The sequence below is a fragment of the Homo sapiens genome, chromosome 13 (genome assembly GCF_000001405.40).
Source record: "Homo sapiens chromosome 13, GRCh38.p14 Primary Assembly".
Classification (NCBI taxonomy): Eukaryota; Metazoa; Chordata; class Mammalia; order Primates; family Hominidae; genus Homo; species Homo sapiens.
In genome coordinates this window covers 45966156-45987297 of record NC_000013.11, presented here as the reverse complement: position 1 = coordinate 45987297, position 21142 = coordinate 45966156, and the positions used below count along the sequence as shown (strand labels likewise).

The following is a 21142-nucleotide window of genomic DNA, read 5'->3' as shown; positions in this document are numbered from 1 at the left end:
AGAAGGGACTTAAATCATAGGCGTTTTAAGTTCTTTGTAAGGAAGATGTCTGTTTAACTTTCCATACGGGAGATTTAGCAGGCAATTGTTCCTCTCTATTTAGATGTCATTTTCTGAAATAAGGATAATTTCGGTGGAAGGATAGGGAGGTAGGTAAAGAAGAAAATACAGTACCTAGACGTATTTGTAAAGACAGATGGGCGCATCATGAGAAAAAGATCTGGCACTAAGTGAACACATTTTCAGGCACAGTTGGTATTGGGGGAGGAATAGAAGTGAAAGATATTCACAGAAAGGGATGGAGATATGTCAGATCTTTGCCTCTTGCCTTTGTCCTTAAACAGGGTTTGTGGATATGGATATATGGACAAAGGAATTGGTGGGGGAGATAGGTTATTGATGAGGGTCTAAGGGCCTTGTGGTTACAAGATGTTTGGGTCCATGAGAAAGTCTGTGGGCCTAGCCATTAGGGACAAAGAGAAAAGGAGGTAAACTTATAATGTTTTGGGCATGAGGCTGCTAGAGTTGCCAAAATAGCCTTAGACTAGGGCAATTCCAGAGTATAAGAGCACCTTGCAGAAGAATCTGATAAAAAGGGCAGAATTTATCCTTTGAGGTTCTCTTGTTAATTCTTTGGCTTCATATCAGATTTGTTATAATCAATTTGTGCCCTTTCTAAATATATGTAAAGAGTGGTTTCTAATCTTTGCAAATTATGGGGTTGACTAAGCCATCTAAGTTTTGGGCCTCTATTTCTTTATTATAAAATGACATGGTTTGTTTAGATAATCACTGTGGTTCAGCTTTTAAAAAGTGCAAGTATTTATTTTTTTGTATGAAATGCTTTTTTGTTCGTTCATTTTAAAGAGAAAAAGTCTCATCTTCCTATGTTGCCCAGGCTGAACTCAAACTCCTGGATTCAAGTGATCTTCCTACCTCAGCCTCCCAAGTAGCTGGCACTGTAGGTACATGCCACGTCACCCAGCTAGAAAATGCTCTAAGTAGAGAAAGCTTTAAAGACTTGCACACATGAATGTTATACCATTAAACAGTGCAGGAAAAGAGAGTGAATAATAGTATCACTCAACCAGCTAGCTTACTAACCATAGGCTACCCTAAAGTGCTTAAGTACATTTGAGGAGGTCACAGATGGTCTAGTTTAGCCTAACTTAATAGTTGATAGAAAAGATTAAAGTAACTGAAGTGTCTTTGTATCTAAAAGTGGTTTCTGAAAAGTAAGCCGTCAATGATAGGAGATGAACTTATTTGTTTCAGTTGTTTAGGATCTGGTAAGTTGGGGTGAGTTGGGGCAGTATAGGTAAGTTGGGGCAGAGGAAATTCATGTTCGGAGTTTATCTAATGAAGAACATTCTTATCAGGTGTTAATTATCTTTGGAATTTTAGCTTCTTTATTTTTTGCAAAGAACACGAATTGTCATTATAATAAAATTTTTAAAGTTCTGTATTAAATATGTTTTCTAGTTTCCTGAAACTTTGTAAAAGCAATTACAGTCAATTTCCAAAATTGCATTACAGATACTAGGGGCAAACGAGACAGAGAAAAGGACTCAAGAGAAGAACGAGAATATGAACAGGATCAGAGCTCTTCTAGAGACCACAGAGATGACAGAGAACCTCGAGATGGTCGGGATCGGAGAGATGCCAGAGATACTAGGGACCGAAGGGAACTAAGAGACTCCAGAGACATGCGGGACTCAAGGGAGATGAGAGATTATAGCAGAGATACCAAAGAGAGCCGTGATCCCAGAGATTCTCGGTCCACTCGTGATGCCCATGACTACAGGGACCGTGAAGGTCGAGATACTCATCGAAAGGAGGATACATATCCAGAAGAATCCCGGAGTTATGGCCGAAACCATTTGAGAGAAGAAAGTTCTCGTACGGAAATAAGGAATGAGTCCAGAAATGAGTCTCGAAGTGAAATTAGAAATGACCGAATGGGCCGAAGTAGGGGGAGGGTTCCTGAGTTACCTGAAAAGGGTAAGGTTTTTGACTTGTCTATGAACTATATCTTATATAGAAAGTATAAAATCTCCTAAGATTTCTAATATGTTGTTTCTTACATTTGTTATCATTTTGTCACAGTAATTTTTAATTAATTGAACTTGTAGTCTTCCTTATAAATTCCTAATTGGAATTACTAGTTAAAATAGCAAAAGATAAATGGAGCTTGAGCTAGACCCCCCCTAAGTATATCCAGTCATGCCTATCATCTTGATTAATGTGGAACACTAAGAAAATCACTATCAGACAAAAAAGTAGAATCACGAGGAAGTTGCTTTCTGTTAAATAGGTATAAATATGATAAAATGTTCATTAAATTAAAGTAGGATTAAAGTGGTGGGTTTTCAGAATTGTTGGCATCAGAAATGACTGATTTGTGTATTCTTCAGTATTTGTACTTGCTTCAGACCCTGTCAAACTGCCACACGTCATTATCTTGAGCCATTTTTCTTTTCATAAAAAGTATTTGCCATCACCCAAATGACTTAAATATATTGTAACTATTTCCAAACTGCTGAGACTTAATTATCATGACCTCTCTTTACCTCCACCTGCTTTTCTCCCCTCTCCCCAAACACTGCTGCAGAACTTTGATCACTTTTATTCTTTCCATTGGTCTGTTAGTCAATCCTTGGTCAGTATTACAGCTTCATATTTGTGTTGAGGGTCCTTTAGCTTCTTTGAGCTGCCTTGTCTTTTCTTGACCTTTTACTTTTTCATATCAATTTTAGAAAACAGTTTTTAATTTCATAAAAAAACTGTTGGATTTTTATTTCAATGCATCAACTTAATCAATTTATAATATTTCTCATTAATATTTTTTACATTTTTTCCTGTGTATCCTCTATTTTTTATTGCCATTTTAAATAGTACTTTTACATTTTGTAAGATGTAAATTATGTATTTACATGGTTCAAAATTTTGAATGTATAAAAGGATATATAGTGAAAAGCCTCCGTTGTACCCTGACCACTCTTTTGCCAGCTTTGTATGTATTCTTCCCAAAAAACATTTTACACAAGCAAATATATATCCATTTGTTTTCCCCTCTGGTTTTACAAAACTAATTTTTAAAAACACTGGAAAAAACTATGTACTGTTTTATATCCTACTATTTTCAACTAGTAAAAATATCTTTCATGTCTTTCTTTGTGGTAAACAGCTATTTTCTTCTTTTGGTACTTGTTCTCTATTGTAGAATATACCATAAAGTCAGCAAGTGCTGCATTACTGGGTATTTTGGTTTTCCAATCTTTATCTCTTTCAAACAGTGCTTTAGTGAATAACTGTGTACATATGTCACTAAATGGTGTCTTTTAAAACATTGCATTTTCTAATGCTTTGTTGGTACCTGGAAATGGTAATTGGCATTTGTGTATTAATCTTACATTTAAATGATGTTGCTGTATTTTCTTGATCTAATTAGATTCTCTTAACAGATGTTCCTAGGAACACACTGATTTGGCTCTTCTTTTCTGATTATTAATTTTCTGTCAGTAACCTTCTGAGCATCTTTATCAATACAGTGTTAAATATAAGTAGAAGGGGCCGGGCGCGGTGGCTCACGCCTGTAATCCCAGCACTTTGGGAGGCCGAGGCGGGCGGATCACGAGGTCAGGAGATCGAGACCATCCTGGCTAACACAGTGAAACCCCGTCTCTACTAAAAATACAAAAAAATTAGCCGGGCGTGGTGGTGGGCGCCTGTAATCCCAGCTACTCGGGAGGCTGAGGCAGGAGAATGGCATGAACCCAAGAGGCGGAGCTTGCAGTGAGCCGGGATAGCGCCACTGCAGTCCAGCTTGGGCGAAAGAGTGAGACTCCGTCTCAAAAAAAAAAAAAAAAAAAAAAAAAAAAAAATATATATATATAAGTAGAAGGGGCTTTGCTTTGTTTCAGATTTTAAAGGATTGTTGCTGGCATTTTATTACTAAGTATGGTGTTTGTAGATTTTTTGCAGATACTTTTTATTGTGTTAAGGATTAAGTTCTCTCCCCCCATTTTAGTTGTCAGAAAATACTCTGTTGAAAGTCAGTTCTTTGGGATATGTATTTGTTAACTCTTATTTTGTGGCTCAGTGGTCTGTTTTTATAAGTGTTCTGCATATGCTTTCAAAGGAGTTGCATTTGTAATGGTTGAATGCAAAATGTTTCTCTAAGATAAAGTTTGTTTTAACTACACTTTCAAATCTACATGTAATTTTTCTTAGTCTGTTTGTTCTGTCATTACAGAGAGGTGAGTTCAGTCTTCCACTGTGATTGTGGAATTTGTAGATTTGTTGATTTCTACTTATAGTTTGATCATTTTTTTATTTGAATATTTGAAGCTTTGCTATTAGGTACACGTAAATTGAGTTATTTCTTTCTTTATTCATTATAGAATGACTGTTTATGCCAGGTTCAGGTTGAGCATCCCTAATCTGAAATGCTCCAAAATCTAAAACTTTTTAATGTAATTTTTTTTGTTTTTGTTTTTTGTTTTTTCTATAGCCACTAGCAACTGATAAAATCCAGACTTTTTGAGAGCTGACATAACATTCAGAGGAAATGCTTATTGGAGCATTTTGGATTTCCAATTTTTCAGATTAGGGATGCTGAACCAATATAATGCAAATATTCCAAAATCCAAAACACCTGTGGTCCCAAGCATTTCAGATAAAGGGCATTCAGCCTGTATTTTTCTTGAAGATTGTTTTGCTGGCAGCTGTCTTTTGGTTAGTATTTGTTTGATATATCTTTTTCCATCCTTTCAGGCTTAATTTTTTTTTAAATGTAACTCTAAACAACATATAGTTTTAGACAGATTAAATCTCCTCATTGTATCTTCTTTCATTCTTAACTTTCAAATTTTTCATCTCTTTATCTGTTTCGCCTCTAGGTCATATTCTCAGGCTTACCTTCTAGTTTACCAATTTTTTCTTAGCTGCATCTAATCTGATGGTTAATCCATTCTTTCCTAGATGTTATATGTAGCCTTTTTGTAGTCTGTAAAAATGTTTTAAATTTTTTCTTCCTGGTCTTTAATTATTAAAATATTTTTCACAGCTATTTTGATTATTAAAATACCCGTAGAATCATGCTGTAATTCTTTTAGGTCTCAAAAGCCTGTTACATTTGTATTCTTTGTGTTTTTGTTTGTTTTTTAAATCTTGGGGAAGTGCCTTTTGATTCTGTCTTTGGGTGGGTTAGTTTGTCATATGTTCTTTTTTTTCTTTTTTATTTATTTGTTTATTTATTTATTTATTATTTTATTATTATTATACTTTAAGTTTTAGGGTACATGTGCACAATGTGCAGGTTAGTTACATATGTATACATGTGTCATGCTGGTGTGCTGCACCCATTAACTCGTCATTTAGCATTAGGTATATCTCCTAATGCTATCCCTCCCCCCTCCCTCCACCCCACAACAGTCCCCAGAGTGTGATGTTCCCCTTCCTGTGTCCATGTGTTCTCATTGTTCAATTCCCACCTATGAGTGAGAATATGCAGTGTTTGATTTTTTGTTCTTGCGATAGTTTACTGAGAATGATGCATCACTGGCCATCAGAGAAATGCAAATCAAAACCACAATGAGATGCCATCTCACACCAGTCAGAATGGCAATCATTAAAAAGTCAGGAAACAACAGGTGCTGGAGAGGATGTGGAGAAATAGGAACACTTTTACACTGTTGGTGGGACTGTAAACTAGTTCAACCCTTGTGGAAGTCAGTGTGGCAATTCCTCAGGGATCTAGAACTAGAAATACCATTTGACCCAGCCATCCCATTACTGGGTATATACCCAAAGGACTATAAATCATGCTGCTATAAAGACACATGCACACGTATGTTTATTGCGGCACTATTCACAATAGCAAAGACTTGGAACCAACCCAAATGTCCAACAGTGATAGACTGGATTAAGAAAATGTGGTACATATACACCATGGAATACTATGCAGCCATAAAAAATGATGAGTTCATGTCCTTTGTAGGGACATGGATGAAATTGGAAATCATCATATGTTCTTTTAAGTTTGGAGTGAACTCATCTTTGTCAAAGATTTATCCATGGTAATTCTATGAGGTTGAGGGCAGGGCCCTCAGAGTTTCTGTCTTTGTTTTTGCCAGATATTCCTAAATTATCACAGCCCCAGTACTGTTTCTCTACTCCTAACCCTCACTGCTCAAAAAAAGCTTTTTTTTAAATTTCATTTTGTTTTGAAGTAATTAGGAATTCACAGGAGATTGCAAATAAATGTACAGGGAAACTTTGTTTATCCTTACCCCAACTTCTCCAGTGTTAACATCTAACATCTTATCTATAGCATAGTATCAAAACCAAACAATTGACATTGGTACAATCCATAGAGTTTATTCACATTTCACCAGTATACATGCACTTGGGTGTATGTCTGTATGTAGCTTTTTGTAGTTTTATCATATGTGTAGCCCATTTCCATAGTCAAGATACTCATCTATAACATCCTAAGATTCCTTTTTATTACCCCTTTATAGCCACAACCCTCCCCTGGCCCCTGGCCCCAACCCCTGGCAACCTCTTATGTGTCCCTTGTTTTGTAATTGTCTCGTAAATGGAATAATGCTATATGTATCCTGTTGAGATTGGCTTTTTCACTCAGCATAATTTTTTCTTGGGGTTCATCCAAGTTGTTGCATATATCGGTCATTCATTTTTATTGCCGAATAGTATTCCATGGCATGCATGTGCCACAGTTTGTTTAACTGTTCATCCATTGAAAGACATTAGTGTACTTTGCAGGTTTTGGCTGTTATCAACAAAGCCACTGTGAACATTTGTTTCCCACATCTGTTAATGAAAATTTTCACATACAGTTTAATGTTGTCATTAACCTTGGTGTTCTATGTTGGAATGTTTTCACTGTAAACTGTATTTAAGCAATAATACGTACCCATTTTTTTCTTTCATTATTTTTATATATCTGTGAATTAAATATGAAGAAATAGTTTTTATTTTTTGTTTTTTTTGGGGGGACAGGTTAATTTTAATGAATCTTATTATTTTATGATTTTATCATATGACTTTTATATAGGTAGGGAAAACTGGGACTTCGTCTACTCAGGTCAGTCATTGGACACCTTGGTTGTTCTGATTCATTGCTTGATACTCTTTTCAGGAGTGATTACCACACTTTGGAATATTAAATATATATATTAGTGATGTTTAGGAGGAAAGATTATGACTGATGAAATTTGTTGAATAAAGTGTATGTGGTAAACATTTGTGTGTCTATCCTTTGTTTAGGAAGTCGAGGCTCAAGAGGTTCTCAAATTGATAGTCACAGTAGTAATAGCAACTATCATGACAGCTGGGAAACTCGAAGTAGCTATCCTGAAAGAGATAGATATCCTGAAAGAGACAACAGAGATCAAGCAAGGGATTCTTCCTTTGAGAGAAGACATGGAGAGCGAGACCGTCGTGACAACAGAGAGAGAGGTTTGTCAAACAGAATTTTATTAAATAGTGAACAATATCAATTGGGCGAATTGTTTTTTCAAACAGTTACCAATTTACTTTTTAATATAAAATATACTTTAAGGCTTGTGCTCGATGACACATTTGAAACTATTATATATACTCATATAATCTTTGTTCACATGGTTTAGGAGGGATTATGTCAATAGCTAGTGACCAGTACCTACTGGCAACAAAGTGCAAAAACTTGGGTGCCCTACTGTGTGTTTCTCATCTTACCCAAATAGCTTACAAACCTTTAAAGAATGTAGATGGTTGGGTTCTATTCCAGGCAATTCTGATTCAAGAAATACCTAAACCTTTACATCTGAGTATCCTGTCTACTCACTCATTTGCTATGATCAATAGAATTTTATAAGGACTTCCAGAAAGGAACAGTAAAAAAAAACTGAATGATAGGGCTGGGGATTGTTTAGAGAAATATTTTATTTGTATTCTGTCCTGAGAAGATATGGTATTTGCTTTAGCTAATTTTACGTTCTTATATGTCTTAAGCTAAAACTTTTTCTGTTCATCTATCAGGTGATCTCTTAAATGAATTTTGAAGCAAGATTACTAGGAAGCACTTAAGAAGGGTTGTAAATACTTTCTTTGGCAAGCTTTTATTTCTGTACTTATTAGGGCCTTTAAACATTAAAAATTTTATGAAGGTCTTACTAACCTTGGCTGAAGTAAGGTTCACTATAATGCTGAGATTAATATAGCATGAAACTTGATGGCCCAGAGAATTGAATATTGATACTTTACTATGGGCTGAATCAAAGAGGTAATATTATATCTTGATTGGTTAGTAGTGGGAGAAGAATAAAGTTTCTAAGGCATCATCTACTTTTGGGAGCATAGATAGGATCAGAAGTAGGAGAATTGATTAGGTTGAGTTTATAAGGTAAGCCTAATGCATTTTGGTTAAAAGATGTGTAGAATTTCCTTAGTTACAGATAGGGCTGGAGTTTCTATGTTCTGTGTTGATATCTGAAATTTTTTCTTCCCTGGGACTTTTAGAACTGGTGATGCTTTTTTTTAAATTTCTTTTTTCCTTTTTTTCTATTTTCATATCCTTGCTCAGATTTTTCTCATCTCATGCCTGAATTCAATAGTAACATTTGGTTTCAATCTTATGGTTAGTTCAACCACATGTATTGATCTTCTACTAGGTGCCAAGAACTTTGATAGTTGCTTTACATATATTCTGACTTAGTCTTTACAATATCCTTGTAAGTGTAGGTATGATAAAATAATTCATGTTTTCACAGTTTTGGGGATTAGATCTAAGAGTAGTAAGATTACAATATTATAGAGAAGTAGGTTCCAGAGCTGGAATTCAAACTCAGGTCTTCTGACCAGAAGTTCAGTTCTCTATTTTAATTTTACTGTAACTACTTCAATAATTATGAGATGTATGATTGAAATAAAAATATATTTTGGAGGCTAATGAATATTTTACAAATATTTGTTGAGTACCCATGTCAGGCACTTTGCTAGGCACTTGAGGTACAATAATTTCTTGTCCTTGTAGAATTTAATGGGGAGAGGGAAGAACTCCCCACCCAAAAAAACAAAGTGTGATAAAATGCTACTACTGTATATAAAAGTTCTGTGAGAAGACAAAGGAGCAAACACAATTCTGAGCAATTCCAAGAAAGCTGCCTAAAGAAGTGACATCTGAATTAGGGCCTGAAGAATAAAAGGAAACTATAGAAGGAGCACTTTACAGGGAGAGGGTGCAGCATGTACAGACACCAGAACTGAAAGAAACATGTGCTTTGGAGTAGTAAGGAATTATGAGATTGGAGTCAGAGTATGCTATAATTGGCAAGGTAGAAAAGAAACCAGGGAAAAGGACTGATGAAAGACTATAGGCCAGGTAGTAAATGACCTAAGTTTAGCCTAGTCAGGCTAAAAAATTTGATTTTAATTGCCTTTCACTGCCTACAAGATAACTACTTTTAAACAGTTGGAAGAAATAATTTTCATCAAAAACATATTAAGGGTGTTGGGAAAGATTGAAAACAAGGATACCAATTAGTTAGACTGTTGATGACATAGGCATCTAAGAAGACCTGATCAAGGTCTGAGTTAATAACTATAGCTATGGGGACAGGAAAAGGAACAAAGAAATATTTTAGAAGTGAAGTTGATTGTACTTGGATATGATGAGGCTTAGACAACCCAGAGATTGTCAGCTTTAATGAATTGGTATGTCATTTATTAAAATAAGGAAATATGTAAGTAGAAGCACATCTTTGAATAACACATTTTGGGGGAAAGATAGGGGAAGATAATTTAGACATTTTAAAGTGATGTTCTTATATTCTTTCCATTTTCCTTTGAAGAAAGTAGCATTGATATTTTGGTTGGGAAAATACATCTCCCATAAAAGCATGTCTGAATAGTCTATTTGCTGATATTGCTGTAATTAGAAATTTAAAGTATGATTTGCTATAAGTTAATGGTATTGAATTTGTTTCAGGTTATCTTGTAATGATTATGATGTTGGTATGACTCCTCCAAACCAGGAATTCAGACAATACAAAAGATGGGTAGATAGCATTCTAGGAATCCAAAGTATGGTACAGAAGAACCACTTTAAGTTGGTTTCAGCAAAAGTGAAAGGGTTTAAGAAAACTGACTTCTAATGCATCTACCATCTCTGTGACATTGGGAAGACAACTCTGGACCATAATTTCTGTTTTTAAATAGAAAGGGGGAGAAGCAACTGTGTAGGATTTCATTTTGATTCAGCTTTAAAATGCTATGATCATTTGTATCTGGGTCTATAACCTCTAAAATAGTAAAGATAAGATAATTCTTGTCTTTTCAATCAGTGATTAGGAAGGGAAATCCAGAATACTGTATTGAACCCTTCCTAGAAACATCCTAAAATTGTTCTGCTTAATGAGTTGATGTTAGATGTTCCACTTACCAACCTGTTGGCCTGATTATAATATGATCTTTATCAAAAACCAGTAGATATATAGTATGTAAATGGAAACATCACAGTATCCTAGATCAGACCGCAGTAGTTGCTTTCAAAAATGGCTGTCTCTTTGAAAAAGTTCATGCCATCCTCTTAAACGTTTTTTTATCCCAGACTAATTTTCTGCTCAACTGGGTATTTGGGCAGCATGCATTCATTTACTCTGTGTTTATGTGATTTGTGTGTACATGGAAAAAATTTATATAAAATGTGATGAGGTTATCAGTTAACATTTTAAGAAAACAGCTCTTCATCTGAGTAATCATTTATGTAATTAAAGCTAATTTATTAGTAATTGGTTATTAATTACAAATATATATCACTAATATGAAACACTTTTTACATTTATTTCAAGATTGCTAGACATCAGTACCCTTAATATTACAGTTCATGTTATATTGCAGCAACAAATTCTGACATATGTTTTGTTCTACTATATTTTCCTCACATAATAGCTGCACTTTGATGTGTATATATTTTGGCCTGAAATTAGAGGTGTGACTTACGAGGGAAATTTTTTTTTTCCTTCAGCTCCTATGTTCTACACCTCCTGCTGCCCCTATCCTTTGCCACCAGTGTTCTCAGGTCCTGCTGGGGGGACAGAGAAGATCAGAGGTGAAGGGTAGAGATGGCAGAAAGTGGGGTTGGAGCAGTGGGCTGGAGGTAGGGTAGGGAGCATGCAGAGAAAGATCAAAGATTGATCAGTGGGAGGGGGGAAGGGGGTTGACGGGGAGCAGGAAACATGGTCGTTAGAGGGCAAATAAAAATTATCTTTAAAAAATTTAAGGTCTAGGGGCGATTGTTACTTGGATATTAAGTTAAAATTAAATATGCTACTTGGTTTGTAATTTGTTGCCAGTGTGACCCTATCACAGATAAAATTTAAGATTTACCATGCTGTCTTACCAATAGGTTATCTGTCAAATTAATCACTGACAAAACTTGATTTTCATTGTAGATCAAAGACCAAGCTCACCAATTCGACATCAGGGAAGGAATGACGAGCTTGAGCGTGATGAAAGAAGAGAGGAACGAAGAGTAGACAGAGTGGATGATAGGAGAGATGAAAGGGCTAGAGAGAGAGATCGGGAACGAGAACGAGACAGGGAGCGGGAGAGAGAGAGGGAACGTGAACGGGATCGGGAAAGAGAAAAAGAGAGAGAACTAGAAAGAGAGCGTGCTAGGGAACGGGAGAGAGAAAGAGAAAAAGAGAGAGATCGTGAAAGGGATAGAGACCGAGACCACGATCGAGAGCGGGAAAGAGAGAGGGAACGAGACAGGGAAAAAGAACGGGAACGAGAAAGAGAAGAGAGAGAGAGGGAGAGAGAGCGAGAACGGGAGAGAGAGCGAGAGCGAGAACGGGAACGAGAAAGAGCGAGAGAAAGGGATAAAGAACGAGAACGCCAAAGGGATTGGGAAGACAAAGACAAAGGACGAGATGACCGCAGAGAAAAGCGAGAAGAGATCCGAGAAGATAGGAATCCAAGAGATGGACATGATGAAAGAAAATCAAAGTAAGAATAATTATCAGTTATTAATAACATTTTACATTTCAGGAAAGAATTCAAAGTTTCATTTAATGCTTTTCAATATACTCTTAATTTCCTGTTAATTTTTTTTCTCTGTATATTTTCCTGTTTTTCAAATTTAGTATATGTATCGGTGTTTAAAGTTTTTTTACCCAGCACTTTGGGAGGCCGAGGCAGGCAGATTCCTTCAGGCCAGGAGTTTGAGACCAGCCTGGGCAACATGGCAAAACTCCATCTCTACAGAAAATACAAAAATTAGCCGGACGTGGTGGCACGTGCCTGTATCCCAGCTACTTGGGAGGCTGAGATGGGAGGATTGTTTGAACCTGAGAGGCAGAGGTTGCAGTGAGCCAAGATTATGTCATTGCACTCCAGCCTGGGTCGAGACCTTGTCTCAGGAAAAAAAAAAAAAGTTTTTTCAGTTGTCTAGAAAAAATAATTTTTAAATTAAGACAGGAATCAGTGAACTTGTATCCCATCACATCCCCTAGACTAGTCACCAAGGGATATCACCTGTGCCATTCTGATGATCCTTCATGACTTTTATGTGCTTGTAATTATGGAGTCACTACCCCCAGGCTACAGGAAGCATTCACAATGTCTTGGAACTGAGGGAATCCTTGTAATCACTGCATGGTTCGAAGATGAGAGAAAAGGAAGTGTCTTCTCTTGTGCTGTGGAGTAGTTCTTTGGGGTCAAAAAATGTGTTCTTGGCATCTGATATACCTAAGGGCATTCTCCCACCTCACCCCCTTTTAACCAGAAAAGAACTTATTGCTCAAATATCTAGGAAGTTGGAGATTAGCTTTTGCTTGTTCTGATGTGGCTATATCCAGATTCTCAAACAAAGCATTAGCAGTTTCCATCTCTCCAGTTTCCCTCTGTATTAATTTCAGTCTCAGAAAGGTTTTCTCCATATGATGGCTAAGATGGCCCCAGAGTTGTCCCTGTCAGCTTAGCAGTCCTCTCTGAGTTGGGGCTCTCATTAGTTGGTGAGGAGACAGTTATTGACTAAGCTGATCACAGTGTTCATGAGAATTCTAGACTCAGATTGGTCAATTTTGAAGTTCTGTGGGCACAAAACCAAACTTACTAGAGTTAACTACTTTTTTGCCTCCAACTGGGATAAACACTGTGGTTTACCTTGCCAAAACATACTGAGAAAATAATTTATGTATCTTCAATTTTCTTGCTCTTACCTCCAACTCATTTGCCACAGGGCGAATACAGGGTCCCTGCTTTAGGCTTTTTTCATCCTCACTATTGTGGATTATGGTTAGGGCCAAACAACACAGCACAGAAGTAGAACTTTCTTCCCTTAGGTCTTGGCTGTTCTTTAATCTACAGCCATGGTTTTCTGTAGTACACTCCTTGGATTACTTTCCTGCTTCCCTCTCCTTACATTTTGAAAAATCTTACCTGAACATAAACTTCAGAGATACCTTTTTTAACACATGGAGGCACAGGTACATATTCCCACCCTCCCCACCCGCTACTTTTCTGACCTCTTTATTTTCTAAGATTAAAATTCTGAAATCTTTGTTATTTATCTTTTATTCAGTCCTCTGCTTTCATTAGTACAGATTGAGCATCCCAAATCCAAAAATTCAGAATTTGAAATGCTCCAAAATCTAATGTTTTTTAAACACTGACATGGCACTCAGAGGAAATGCTCATTGGAACATTTCAGATTTTCACATGAAGGATGCACAACCAGTAAGTACAATGCAAATATTCAAAACCTAAAGCATTTCATGGATAAGGGATACGCAACCTGTATTTTTTTCATGCTTCTGATATCTGCTTATAATAGCAAAAGTTTTTCTGGTTTTTCATGGTTAGACAATCTAAGAGTTGACAATGACCCCAGAAATTTAGAAGTTGAATAACTCTATAACAGAAACTAATTACATGAGATTAATATCTTAATCTTTCATTAACTGTATTGTCATCTCAGTAGTTCAATTTATCCAGCACTTTTTTTAACTGCTCTTATGTAGAACGTTTGCCTAATTGCTGTATTTATTTTACTCTAATTGTGTTTATTTAGGTATTTCCTTGAAATAACTTTTTCTCATGTTTTAAATTTTCACTTTATTCCAGTCTGTCAGTTATCTCTTGATATATAACACATCACCACATAAGTTAGTAGCTTAAAACAACAACCATTTATTTGCTCATGATTCTGTGGATTGGCAGTTTTGCCTGGGCTCAATAGAGTGGTTGTTCTGTTGGTCTCACTTGGAGTAACTCCTGTATCAACATTACATCTGACAATGCAGCTGGGCCTGGAGGCCCAGGATTGTCTCATTCATGTGTCTGGCAATTAGGGCATCTTGTTTCTCCTCCACTTGACCCCCTGGCCTTCAGTAGTCTAAACTCTGCTTTGCATGTAATGGTAGAAACAACAAGAGGGCAGAAGCTGAAGCAGCAAGGCCTCCTGAATCCTCTTCACATTTGCACAGTGTCACTTTCACCACATTCTCTTGTCATAGCAAGTCATTAGATATGAAAAATGGGGAAATAGGCCAGTTATTGATGGGAGAGGAGCTTTGGATAAAGTAGTACACAAGCTTGGGCCTGTGAGTTGTCATATTACACCTGGGGCCTTCTCCACATGGTTGTTCATCTATATAAAGGAGCTGTCTATGATATACATGTGCTGGTATGTTTTTGTTTTATTTTTATTTCAATAGCTTTTAGGGTACAAGAGGTTTTTGGTTACCTGGATGAATTCAGAGATTTTAGTGCACCTGTCACCTGAGTAGTCCACATTGTACCAAACATGTACGTTTTTATCCCTCACTCCCCTTCCACCCTCCCCCTTCTGAGTCTCCAAAGCCCATTATATCACTCTGTATGCCTTTGCATACTCATAGCTTAGCTCTCACTTACAGGTGAGAACAAGTTGCTGCAAAAGACATTATTTTTTTCCTTTTTATGGCTGAGTAGTAGTCCATGGTTTCATGGTGTATATATACCACATTTTCTTTATCCACCCATTGGCCAATGGGCACTTAGGTTGGTTCTATATCTTTACAGTTGTGAATTTTGCTGCTATAAACATATATGTGCATGTTTTTTTTTTTCATATAATGACTTCTTTTCCTTTGGGTAGATACCCAGTAGTGGGATTGCTGGATCAAATATCTCCTTTTAGTTCTTTAGGGACTCTCCATACTGTTTTTCATAGAGGTTGTACTTATTTACATACCCACCAGCAGTGAATAAGCATTCCCTTTTCACCATGTCTATGCTAACATCTCCTGTTTTTTTTACTTTTTAATGGCCATTTTTGTAGGAGTAAGGTGGCATCTCATTGTGGTTTTTAATTTGTATTTCCCTGATGATTAGTGATTTTGAGCATTTTTTCATACGTTTGTTGGCTGTTTGTATGTCTTCTTTTGAGAAATGTCTATTCGTGTCCTTTATCCACTTTTTGATGGGATTATTTATGTTTTTCTTGCTGATTTATTTGAGTTTCTTATAGATTCTGGATACTAGTCCTTTGTTGGATACATAGTTTGCAAACATTTTCTCCCATTCTATGGGTTGTCTTTGTTATTTATTTTGCTGTGCAGAAGCTTTTTAGTTTAATTAGGTTCCATTTATTTATTTTTGGTTTCGTTGCGTTTGCTTTTAGAATCTTGGCCATGAAGTCTTTGCCTAGGCCAGTGTCCAAAAGAGTTTTCCCAGTGTTAATTTCTAGAATTTTAATGGTTTCAGGTTTTAGATTTAAGTCTTTGATCCTTCTTGAGCTGATTTTTGTTTGAGCTGAGAGGGATCCGGTTTCATTCTTTTACATGTGACTTGCCAATTTTCCCACCACCATTTAGTAAATAGAGTGTCCTTTCCCCAGTTATGTTTTGTATGCTTTTGCTGAAGATCATTTGGCTTTATTTCTGGGTTTTCTATTCTGTTCCATTGGTCCATGTATACAATATGTTTCTTAACTTTTGACCATAGTATTTATAAACAAACAATGTTAGTGAAAAAACAGGTAGTCAAATTTTAATGAAAATGGGGGAAAACACTAGAATAATTTAAGTACCCAAGAGATATAAAACGCTACTCATTTAAAGCTCAACTAAGGAACAAAAAATATAATGAACGTATGAATTATTTTATTAATTTGTCAGCAAGAAAGTGATTTCCATGAAGGGGAAAGGAACTAATTTTATGGTGTACCCACAACATATTTGGCACTGGGTTTATGACATAACTAATTTATTCCTTACTGCAATTTTATGAAATGGACTCTCATTTCCCACCCATTCAGCCCCACCCACCATTTTCAGATGAGAAACTAAGGTTCAGTGACTTCAAGGAACTTACTTAAGGCTGCGTAATAACTAATGTAGTTATAAGTTGAACTCATAGCTTTTTTACTTCAAAGCCAATATTAGGTTTTCTCATTCAGCTCTGCAGCATAAGGCATTTTTATATCATAAGAATGCAAAATTGCTGAATGTTTATATCAGAGGGTACATTAATATATTGGTTTCTGTGCTGCATGTTACCACCTTACAGTATTTAAATCTGGCAATTTTCACTTGAGTTATTCTACATGTATAATGAAGAAGAAGAAGAAATGTTGTGTATTTTAAGTTCACAATTCTTAGCAAATGAAGTAAAGAATTTGTATTAAAGACACTGAATATCCTTTGTATGATACACTCTGGCAATATTGCTTTCCTACAATTATATGTTCCAGTTATAGTAAAGAGATACTAGTAAAAACAAAAAAATCTCTTTTTTTGCCCCCTAGAATTTTATAAATTGTGTTTGCTTGTCCAATTTAGGAAGCGCTATAGAAATGAAGGGAGTCCCAGCCCTAGACAGTCCCCGAAGCGCCGGCGTGAACATTCTCCGGACAGTGATGCCTACAACAGTGGAGATGATAAAAGTAAGCAGACTCTGTTTTCTGTCTCTCTATATTCATATTCATTTGTAACCATGAAACCATCCTTTCATACTAGTAGGAACTGATGAATTAAGATTTTTAAAAAGTTGTCTTGCTTTGCTGCCTCTAAATATCTCCTTTTGTGACTAAAGTATGTGTTAGAGTACTGTCATTTTCTACTATTTATAGTAAAGCCATATTTTTATTTTTACTAAAATTATTGTCATTTTAAAAGTTTTTAAATGATCTTGATCTCTTGATCTCATGATCCACCTGCCTCGGCCTCCCAAAGTCCTGGGATTACAGGTGTGAGGAGAAATTATTATAATCTATATGTACCATGCAGTGGTTACTAACCTGGTGAGAGTGTGATTGCTTTTATCTTTTATATAGATGAAAAACACAGACTCTTGAGCCAAGTTGTACGACCTCAAGAATCTCGTTCTCTTAGTCCCTCGCACCTCACAGAAGACAGACAGGGTAGATGGAAAGAGGAGGATCGTAAACCAGAAAGGAAAGAGAGTTCAAGGCGCTACGAAGAACAGGAACTCAAGGAGAAAGTTTCTTCTGTAGATAAACAGAGAGAACAGACAGAAATCCTGGAAAGCTCAAGAATGCGTGCACAGGACATTATAGGACACCACCAGTCTGAAGATCGAGAGACATCTGATCGAGCTCATGATGAAAACAAGAAGAAAGCAAAAATTCAAAAGAAACCAATTAAGAAAAAGAAAGAGGATGATGTTGGAATAGAGAGGGGTAACATAGAGACAACATCTGAAGATGGTCAAGTATTTTCACCAAAAAAAGGACAGAAAAAGAAAAGCATTGAAAAAAAACGTAAAAAATCCAAAGGTGATTCTGATATTTCTGATGAAGAAGCAGCCCAGCAAAGTAAGAAGAAAAGAGGCCCACGGACTCCCCCTATAACAACTAAAGAGGAATTGGTTGAAATGTGCAATGGTAAGAATGGTATTCTAGAGGACTCCCAGAAAAAAGAAGATACAGCATTCAGTGACTGGTCTGATGAGGATGTCCCTGACCGTACAGAGGTGACAGAAGCAGAGCATACTGCCACCGCCACGACTCCTGGTAGTACCCCTTCTCCTCTATCTTCTCTTCTTCCTCCTCCACCGCCTGTGGCTACTGCCACTGCTACAACTGTGCCTGCAACTCTTGCTGCCACTACTGCTGCTGCCGCCACCTCTTTCAGCACATCTGCCATCACTATTTCCACCTCTGCCACCCCCACCAATACCACCAATAATACTTTTGCCAATGAAGACTCACACAGAAAATGCCACAGAACACGAGTAGAAAAAGTAGAGACGCCTCACGTGACTATAGAAGATGCACAGCATCGCAAGCCTATGGATCAAAAGAGGAGCAGCAGCCTCGGGAGCAATCGGAGTAACCGTAGTCATACGTCTGGTCGTCTTCGCTCCCCATCCAATGATTCAGCCCATCGAAGTGGAGATGACCAAAGTGGTCGAAAGAGAGTACTGCACAGTGGCTCAAGAGATAGAGAAAAAACAAAAAGCCTGGAAATCACAGGAGAGAGAAAATCTAGGATTGATCAGTTAAAGCGTGGAGAACCCAGTCGAAGTACTTCTTCAGGTAATAAAATTGAATTGTGATCTAGTCACTGTTTCCTAGGTTAGTATATTTTATACACATTTTAATTCTAAAGTAATGCTAAATTGGTTACTTTACATGCTGCCTTAAATTTTATGCAACTTTTTAAAGAAAAGTTTAGCTGCCCTATCAAAATGTTACCTGTTATCACATTAATACCAACATTATAATAGAAATACATACAGTAGTGTTAATCAGTTTAATATCAGGATTTTAGTAGTATGTCTTGGTGGAAGGGTTTATGTGTTCAAGTCCCTTATTGATGCCTATGATTTTAACCTTCCTGCTATTCTTCATGCAGTCAAGGCTGCCTCTTTTGACCACAGAAAATAAGATAGGGGAGTAGGAGGAGATCAAATAATGGAGTGATTAGTTCTATTAATGCCTAATCATTTTATGTACTTCTTGGAAGATATTTTATGGTTATAGTGGAAATAGACAAGGAAACTTTTTTTTTTATTTATTAGAACTTTGAGAGAGGAATTTTTCTTAAAATGATTTATATATTTGGATATTTATAGAGAGAAATGTATATGTAGAATATAGAAATATATAGAACATATAGAGACAATATGGAACATAGAAAGTTACATAGAATATGGAAAAAGGTAAATTATGTTTTAAAGGACCTTGAAATGAAGCATTTTGTTTCTATTTTATCATGTGCTAATAACTCTTTATATATGGTATATTTATTTTAGATCGCCAGGATTCAAGAAGCCATAGTTCAAGAAGAAGTTCTCCAGAGTCAGATCGACAGGTCCATTCAAGATCTGGGTCATTTGATAGCAGAGACAGGCTTCAAGAACGAGATCGATATGAACACGACAGAGAGCGCGAGAGAGAGAGGAGAGATACGAGGCAGAGAGAATGGGACCGAGATGCTGATAAAGATTGGCCACGCAACAGGGATCGAGATAGATTGCGAGAACGAGAACGAGAGAGAGAACGAGACAAAAGGAGAGACTTGGATAGGGAAAGAGAGAGACTAATTTCTGATTCTGTTGAAAGGGACAGGGACAGAGACAGAGACAGAACTTTTGAGAGTTCTCAAATAGAGTCTGTGAAACGCTGTGAAGCAAAACTGGAAGGTGAACATGAAAGGGATCTAGAAAGCACTTCCCGAGACTCTCTAGCCTTGGATAAAGAGAGAATGGATAAAGATCTGGGATCTGTGCAGGGATTTGAAGAAACAAATAAATCCGAGAGAACTGAGAGTCTGGAAGGTGAGTGCTACCTCTGTTGTCTGTGATACTGCTTTATTTCTTTTCAGATTTCGTGGGAAACAACTATTTTCTTTTGAAAGGGCACCCACTAATGGGCAAATTGACTCCATTCTCCATTCTTCTATAGAGGAAGTAGATTTCAGAAGGAAAAGGCCTGTAAGATAGAGATATATATATTTTTTTAATGTGGTCCCCTTAGCAGTACCATTAAGGCAGATTTGGTTCACATAAACCTAAATGAAATAAAAGATTGTTTAGATGCAGTGTGTATAGATGTTGAAGAATAACCATCACATCCTTTTCTTAGATGTTAAAAAAATAAGATTACAAAAATTGAAATGACTTCTTAGTTCAGAGAGGGATTCAAATAATTATTAGTGAATCCCTATTTTCTAGGGCAGTTGAGAACAAATATATGAAACAATAACACTACCTAAAACTGTATTTAATGTAGGATTGACTAGAATCCCACTGGTACTCCCTAGTCCTAGAATAGGAATGCTAAGTCCGCATCAACTCAGAGCCAGCCTCAGCTATGTGAAACCTCACTCTCCATGCTTCTGTTCTTTACCCTTCAGCCCCCATTTACTAGACAAGCTGACTCATGCCTTTCCATTCTCTGCCCTTCTTTGTACCCACTCATACCATTTCCTGATAGACCTTTTTCTTTTATCTCATCTTTCTTACTCAAAATTCAAGTCCCAATTTATACATTATTTTCTCGATGAAGCCTTCTCTGCTCGAGGCACTTACTGTTTCAAATTCATCTCTTCACATTACATTTTCATCTCAATTTTGAGTATAAATAGCATCAAATCATAAAGCATGGTTCTGATGGAGGTACAACCCTGGGATATAATTGAATATAATTGAATTAATCATTATAATAGCTCTCTTGTGATTGGAGTCAGTATCCCTCATCTCTAAAATATATAATTTGCTGGTTATGATCACAGATAATATAGAATAGAAATGTATAGGTGAATCACTTGCTATGTGATGTAAAGTTTTTACTCAAAGTAGGAAAATGAGTTGGATCAACTTGAAAAGTTGAAAATCCTATTATGTGCATTTATGTTTAGATGTATGTTTATATGACAAAGTTACTAAAATTGGTTACATTAGAAGTGACTTAGTGAGGATATGGGGAGATTATTATAGAATTTAATAACATGGAAAATCACTAGAATGACTAGAAACATCTCATAACTTCTTATATTTTATTTGCTGCAAATTCATACCCATAAAGCATATGGTTACATTTTGAAACTTAGTATTGTAGATTCAGTGAAATGTATGGTTAGCTAGTGATTGTAAACGTTAAGTGTATTCTGTAATTTTAGGATTA

The 21142-nt window shown here is 36.4% G+C and overlaps 1 protein-coding gene across 28 annotated transcripts in view; it reads left to right on the top strand.

Annotated features, from left to right (window-relative positions):
- The window catches only part of ZC3H13 (zinc finger CCCH-type containing 13), a 98282-nt gene that overhangs the window by 65449 nt on the left and 11691 nt on the right, over positions 1–21142 (top strand). For 17 of the 28 annotated variants that reach the window (NR_167893.1, NM_001382214.1, XM_047430207.1 and 14 more), the window contains 6 exons: positions 1537–2001; positions 7294–7485; positions 11460–12015; positions 16833–16936; positions 17327–18550; positions 19270–19794. Coding sequence is in view for 27 of the 28 variants with exons in the window: in NM_001382214.1 (NP_001369143.1) it covers positions 1537–2001; positions 7294–7485; positions 11460–12015; positions 16833–16936; positions 17327–18550; positions 19270–19794 (3066 nt within the window). In the remaining variant the exon portion in view is untranslated. Of the gene's footprint in view, positions 1–1536; positions 2002–7293; positions 7486–11032; positions 11117–11459; positions 12016–16832; positions 16937–17326; positions 18551–19269; positions 19795–21142 lie in introns of all 28 variants that reach the window. The other 11 variants (XM_005266306.4, NM_001382212.1, XM_005266302.4 and 8 more) reach the window with 1 other exon arrangement.